The following is a 7,717-nucleotide window of genomic DNA, read 5'->3' on the forward strand; positions in this document are numbered from 1 at the left end:
TGCAAAACTCAAATGCCTCCAAAGGCAAGTAGGTGATGGAACTGAGTGAAGCCAGCTATGTGAAACCAGAGATTGTGCCACACTTGGGAAAGCATGCGTCACTTTAGAGGTCATTTACATACAGTGGCCAGTATTATTAGATTTTCAGAAAAGGAGTGAAAAATGTTTTAATGTTAGGTATAAGAAGGAACATACTGAGAAGTGTGGTTTTAAAAAATCCCCATCCCCAAATAATTAAAGCTTCTATCCACAGCATGATCATCATTTCAGTATACATAATCTGCAGCTGCTGCATGGCATTTAAATGAAGGATTAGTAAATGCATGCTACAGCCTCAGTTATTTTTCTAACATAGGTCACCACAAGAAATATGTACACAACAGGTTTGATTTATATCCTCAATATTTCAGTAGTTATGGTGCCTTGAAGAAGCAAAACAAATTGGAGTCAAGACATTTGTAATATTTATTTTGCCTAAAGTAAAAAATATGACAGAATTAGAATAACCATCATTTGAAATTATTTCATTCAGGCAACCAACTATACGCTAAGATACAAGTAGGTGATTTTCCCCTGAAGTTTGAAAAGAAGGACCAGTCTCTGAAACATGTCCTCTGGTTTTCTACTTCTCCCAAATATCTTCTCTTGCAAAGTTCATCATTAAAGCTCTTTGAGGATTATTTCAGACCCCTACATGCTATGTCTGGGACACAAGAACAGTCTTAAAGAGAATGTCCTGAAGCTCATCCACCTCAGTGTGCAGGGCTGGAGCTCATGTATATGTACTTTGGCTCTCACCAGAAGTGGTGAATCTTAGGGTTCTGGGTCTTATTGTTTTAAGAGATATGATGTGAGCCAGGCTGCTTAGTATGAACCACCGACAGATGAAATGATGGCTTATGAAAGAAAGTTAATGTAAAATATTAGCCCATGTGAGCTAGCATAATCAGTTGTTTTTATTAAAATGTTATGTGTTTGTTGCATTAGGAAAAGGAAGTGGATTGGATACCCCTTTGTTCCCACATATCTTCAGTCTTTTTACACTTAGCACTACCGGCTATTTTTAGCATGCTTGTTGTCTGCCTATCCTGTTACAACATCACCTCCACAAGGACAGGGAATTTGCCTGTGTTGTTCACTGTTATACCCACTCCACTTCCTAGGAAATGCCTAGAAATAGAAGGAACTCAGTAAATACTTCCTGGGTGAGTAAATACATGAGAAAATTATTTGTGTGCATGGATAGTTGCAAAGATCACTATGGCATAAGCAGAGGCTTCCCCACTCGGGTTACAGCAGTGCGGTTCTTTGTTTGCAAACTGCAGTTACCAGCTGAAGCATCTGCTGTGATTTTTTTTTTTAATCTACTTCAGTTTACTTGAAGGGTTTCCTAAGAAGACAGTGTGCTGGTTTATGAAGCTATTGTCTCTCTACTTCAAACCCACCTTTCCTTACTCAGCTTTATGGCACTGGGGCTGGGATGATAGGAAATAGAGTTTTGGCTGCCTGTGAGGCTTCTCTGAGAGGGAGGCACTGGATGCTTGCTGGAAGGCTAGAAAGGGAGGGAGGGAAGGAGAAGTCCCTGTTCCTGGCAGCGGCATCCGCCAGCAACAACCGCCCTCTCTTGGCAGCAGCAATTGGTCTGGTTCTAGTCTCCACCTTCTTTCTACACTTTTTCTGCAAAGTTACCCATAGCAGCCAGGCAGTGCCCTCTCCTCAGAGATCTGGTCCGAGTCTGACAATGGCTCTGCCGGGCATCTTCTCTGATTAGGGCAGCTTTCAGACAGCTGATTGCTCATTAGGAACACCTGGGACGGAACCGCAATTTCTTCCCTTTATTCTACCTTCTCTATTTAGCTTAGCCAATTCCTTATAACTGATTATAATTAATTTATAATACATTCCATCTGTTATAATATGCTTTCTAGTTTCCTGACCCGGACTCTGATGGATCATGTTCTTTATCCTACAGCTATGTGTGTTTCTGCAAATTCTATATTTCAAAGCTCTTAACAATTCACAAACTTGCAGGACTTCTTTTAATTTAATTTAAAATGATAGTGGGGTTTCTTTTAATTTAAAAATGTTTTTCTGTTGGTGGGTATTTAAACACATAAAACAAATAGAGATTTACACAAAATACAAATGCTCCAGTCTTACTTATCAATTTTTAACACATTTCCATCGGATTAATGTTCTCTTACTTTCAAACTCCCTCTTTTTAAAAATGCAGAACAGAAACCCCAATCGTTCATGAATTCTCAGAGCATCCCTTTCTGTGATAATAGAGTGGAGAAAAACTTCCTGTGGGTCTGCAATCCTATCCCCGCACAGGTAAAATACTTCTTTGTTTTTTCATGTGGAATATTTTGAGCAGTTTTCAGGATGTTCCAATCTCGACAGCCCACTCGCTTGTCCCTGTGGCGTCTGAGGGGATGCTGACACATGGAGTTTGAGAACCACACTTTAAGAAGTTGTTCTTTCCTGTGGGGCAGAATTAGGGCAGCTTTCCGACAGCTGATTGTTCATTAAGAACACCTGGGGTGGGACCAGAAGGAGGACAGAAAGTGCCATCTGAGATTGCAGAAATTCTCTTTAATTTCACAATTATGCCCATAGCAGGCTTTCTGTGGCAGAGTTGTTGACCTAAGGTTCAGAAGACAATCTGACTTGGCTAATGACAGCATTTTCTCATGATCTGCAAAACATGAAGAAATGATGCAGTGGGAAGGTTGAAGCCATCGGTATAGTGAGTTGCTTGACCTGCAGAGAAGTCATAAGTTCATTTATCTTCCTCTCAGCAATGACTTAAACTCCTGTCTATTGAGTGCCTCCGAGGCGCAAGACAGGATGCTAGGCACTTGATTCTTCACACACTTGTGGAGTAGGTATTATAATAAGAGCACTGATCACCAGTCTTGAGCTCATAATTAAATGCCCCACAACTAGAATGTGGTCGAGCTAGTCCTTAGTTAAATCTAGGGGTAAAGTCTGGTTGTTTTGACTTTTTTACCCTCCTTCCACCATAAAGCATAACATATTCTCACATGGAAACCTGCAGGGCAATTCCCCTGCTTTACATTAATGAGGGACAAATACGATTTGTGTCTTTTACTGTGTCTAATCTCCCACGGTTCTCACAGCTTCTTTTAAATTTATATGACTTTTCCATTTTCATAAAAAGATAGGATGCCGTTTCTTATCTTTTTGGATCAATGTTATGGTATCAGTATTGATTCTTAAAGAAGTCCTTTAGAGGTTCAGCTCTGAAGCTATTGATCATTCAAAAGTTCCTCCTTTATTTAATTTTCATGTCACTTCAGTCTTTGAAACTTTAGGTTTCACATTTCCTCTGTATGTAGCTTTCCAGTGGAAGACAGGGCTTTCTTTACTGTATTTCTAAAATTATGTAATTTGGGGGTACTTTATTTGGCAAACATGGATAGAATATTTATATGTTTGTGAACAATGTGCAATTCTTATCACAGTGTTACCTAAAATAGCTAACATAAAGAGTCTAATTTATAAATAAGAGAAATTGAAGCTTAGGGAGTTAACTGTTCAATGTAATTAAGTAGACTAACGGGTAGTAGAGCCGTGCCTCCAATCAAAGTCTATTCAAGGCCCAAAGCCTGTCCCCTAAACACTAACATCTGTCTGCCCCTCACATCCACTGTTTTCTCACCATCACTCAAAACTTGTCTCAGAGTGATGGCTTGCAGAGCACATGCCTGGTGCCCTGGTGTCCCCTGTTTGTTCACTCCAGGGCCGGTGGTACCATCTTGATGACCTCACATATCTGATCTAACTCTTTTGTAAGTGCTTATTTCTGTCACTCCAACTAGACAGGGGCTTTTCACTGTTTCATTCCAGCACTTGGCACAGTGAGTAGCACGTTGGTGTTTAACAAATATTTGTTAAGGAAATGGATGCATGATTCTGGGCTTGCCAAACATATGCTCAACTTTGCCTTCTGTGCCTACAACTACCTGGAGGAATTTCTGTCTGCTTCAACTACCAACAAATCTCTCTAAACAAGCAAATGGTGGTTGTCAAGTTGGTAATGGATATTTGTTGTTGATTAAGGTGATAAACTGAGGTAGAGAAATAACTTCTCTGATGATGTATAGGAGCAAAGAGAAATGCTCTTGAGTGGATACTTTTATAATTTTACATTTTACTGGGATTTTATTGGCTGTCTTATTTTGTTGCAAATGGCATAAACCCAACTCACACTAGCTTAGCAAAATGTATAGTTGTAACTTTGCAAGATGGAATATAGAGCCGGCTTCAGATCCTAATGTATCCCAGAGCCAAACAACCTTGTTTTGGTCTCTCTTTGTGTGTCCCTCCTTCTCTCTTTATTTACATGTGTTTCATACTGGGTTCATTTTGCAGAAAGGCTGTCACCATTTGACCAAAAGGGAGGACCAGGACAGAAGGACCATAAGTCAATGGTTTTCTTTAGTGTGCTGCCAGCAGAATCAGAATCACCTGGAAGCTGGGTGAGAATGCAAATTCTTGAGCCCTATCCAAGACCTACTGAATCAGAAACTCTGACACTAGGAACTAGGACTCTGTGTTTTCATAAGCCTTCCAGGTGGTTGTTGTGTACACTACAATTTGAGACCTGCTTGACTAAGGGTAGGAATTGAGTCCTCAAATAAATGGGCTTCATCAAGTGGCTTTCATGTACAGAAGTAGAAGAACATGGGAGACATTAATAGCTCAAAATGAGGGATTATATGTGTTTGGAATTCCTCTGACATGCAAGGCACTCACTTGAGTGCCTAATTAATCTACCTTAATTATACTCTTATCCCTATTTTGAGAGATCTTCAAAAAGAAATGGATTTGGAGGAGGTTTAGTAATATATGATATTTATTAAATTTTACCTTTAAGACTGTCAGAGAGAAACTGGAGGATGCTGGGGTCTTTGTTCCATCAGAGAAAAGCATTTGGCTTCAAAATCTCACATTTCCACTACAACTTTGGGAACTCTGTAACTTCCCAGTTTTATTCTTTAGCACCAATCTTTTCTTCTACAGTGATTAATAGTAAAATTGTTGAATGAAAAATTGTTAGTTAGTGTGGGGAGATAGCATAAAGAGGAAAAGGCTGGGGAGAACTGCAATCCACTTTGAAGCCAGCCTTGAGAAATAGGAATCTCCACAGATGAAAAGGGAAGTCACGGCTCAGAGGAGGGGGCACACTGCCTGTGTTCCTTGTGCCTCCAGGAATAGAGGGGCCCCAGGGACTACAAAGAATCCCCAGGGACCTCAGTTTCTTCAGAAGTAGTAGCAAGTCACTTCAGAATGTTATGCATTATCTGTCTTTTCAGATTTTAATCATCTTTATGTTTGCTTGGTCCTCAGTTAAAAAAAAATATTTCCCACATAGGACTAATGGAATTGTCTTTCTGGGGTCATAGAGACAAGGTTGTCAGAATATCTCTTCAAGACAATAGTGTCAGTGACCACAGCTTGGCAATTCCTGAGCTAGATATAAAGGTAGCAAGAACAGCACTATTCACAATAGCAAAGACACGGAATCAGCCTAAATGCTTATCAGTGATAGACTGGATAAAGAAAATGGTGTGGATATACACCGTAGAATACTGTGCAGCCGTAAAAAGGAATGAAATCATGTCTTTTGCAGGGACATGGATGGACTTGGAAGCCATTATCCTCAGGAAACTCATGCAAGAACAGAAAACCAACCACTGCATGTTCTCACTTATAAGTGGGAGCTGAATGATGAGAACATATGGATGCATCAGGGGGAACAAGACACACTGGGGCCTGTTGGGGCATGGGAGGAGGAAGAGCATCAGGAATAATAGCTAATGGATTCTGCGCTTAAAACCTAGGTGATGGGTTGATCTATGCAGCAAACCACCAGGGCACACATTCACCTATGTAACAAACCTGTACAGCCTGCACAGGTACCCCTGAACTTAAAATTAAAGTTGAAGTAAAAATAAAAAGAAAAAGTCTGTGAACCCTTTAACCCCTGACCAAAGGGAAAAAGAATAAAAGAAGGTAGCAAAAATTAGAGGAGAGCTGACTCATAATTCTAAATGATGTAAGAATTCAAAACTAAACAATCCTAATAATTATTCTAAATAAAATAATTCTAAATAATAAGTGTAGTAACATAATAATAGCAAATATTTATTGATCTCTTATGATGTCCTACGTCCTGTTTTAGTCACTTTAATTGTATTAACTTGCTTAATCTTTATAACTTCCATCCATTTTATAAATAAAAAAACTGGCACAAATTGTCCAAATGAAATAGTTTTTTTTTTAATATAAACCCAAGAAGTTCTGTCCTCAGAGCTCGTACAGTTTATCATTACCTAAGACTACCTGCCTCTTGAGAAAAAGTGAATCTCTTCAGTTAAACTATGCAGATATTTGCTAATATTTGCTACTGTGCTTGTTCGTTTTGGGAAGGCGATTCCACATAATTTTGTCAGAACTCCTTTGTATGAAGATAGAATCCAGCCACCATCCTATCCTCATCATGACACTGTCATTACAACTAAGACATCAGAGTGGACATTCCCCTCTTTTCAAGAAACATTTTTGTCTACTGACTCTATGTGGAAGTCAAAGAGCTAACTATGCTTTATGTTCTTCATTTCATTTCCTGAAACTTTGATGTGCAGGTTAAAGACTGTTTCTATCTGAACTGTTTTATGGGAAAAGCTAGCTTGAACCTAACTACATGAACCTCTGGAGGCTGGGTAACCTGACTTTTTCACAAAGCAACTGATATTCGCATGTTGGGTTTTATTTTTAATTTGTCATGGTTCTTGGAGACTGCTCTGAATGTTCAATTATATTTTTAATTTCACTGCTGGCTTATTAGCTGATTAACTGAGCTGTTCTCATCTGAGCAGTATTAGGGTTTAGTAAGATCTTACATCATTCTACAGGAATCAATTTATAAACTTTGTTTACTTCAAGATTCTGGCTGACACATTAATTTAGCAGCAACAGAATTACAGATAGCGTTACAAAAAAGCTATTAGCTATTCTCTTAGAGATAATATTTATAAATGGAACGTAATTACAGCCTGGAAGCACACAGTTTCCAGAGCTAAAGGCAATAAAGCTACAGCAATAAAGAATTTACTATTAGCTCTCCTGGGACAAAGAGGGCTCCAGTGGAATGGGAAAGAGGTTGGGGTGAGGTATAGAGCTGGGAAGGCGAAAAAAGAAGGAAGAGAATGGGATCACAGGAGAGGCTCAGCTCTTCTAAACAGTAGTTATATTCCAGGCTGTTCTAAGAAGGCAGAGACTAGTGCCCGGGGAGACCAAGTCTCTGCTTCTACTATGGAAGATTTTTAAAAGTTGTTTCCAACCCGATGGAAACTTTCTCATGGGAATGGTTTGCTCACTGATATTTTCCCAAAAGATCTTTTCTCTTATTTTCCCACATCACTGGGTTTTTTAAAAAAATGTAATGACCGTTATCCCAAACAACTAGATAATATACAGCCTTTGTCCTTTAAGAGCAAATTTGGGTCTGTAAATATTTATTGAGCAGCTACTGTATACAAGATACTTTACTACGTATTTTGAGAGATACCAAGATAAATAAGATGTGATCCCTGCCCTTAAGAGGCACAAGATTTAGAAGGTGAGAGAAGATATGTAATACTGCAAGTACCAATACTAGCTACTCTATACCAGGCGTTACTCTCAA

The 7,717-nt window shown here is 39.1% G+C and overlaps 1 long non-coding RNA gene across 1 annotated transcript; it reads left to right on the forward strand.

The window, feature by feature from the left end:
• The first annotated feature begins 1,131 nt into the window (after positions 1-1,131).
• LINC01489 (long intergenic non-protein coding RNA 1489) lies at positions 1,132-5,982 on the forward strand. Its single transcript, NR_120466.1, has 4 exons — positions 1,132-1,205; positions 2,234-2,334; positions 4,399-4,505; positions 5,660-5,982. It is a non-coding gene; the product is annotated as a long intergenic non-protein coding RNA 1489 (long non-coding RNA).
• Positions 5,983-7,717: the final 1,735 nt, after the last annotated feature.

This window comes from Homo sapiens, chromosome 12, assembly GCF_000001405.40.
Source record: "Homo sapiens chromosome 12, GRCh38.p14 Primary Assembly".
Taxonomy (NCBI): Eukaryota; Metazoa; Chordata; class Mammalia; order Primates; family Hominidae; genus Homo; species Homo sapiens.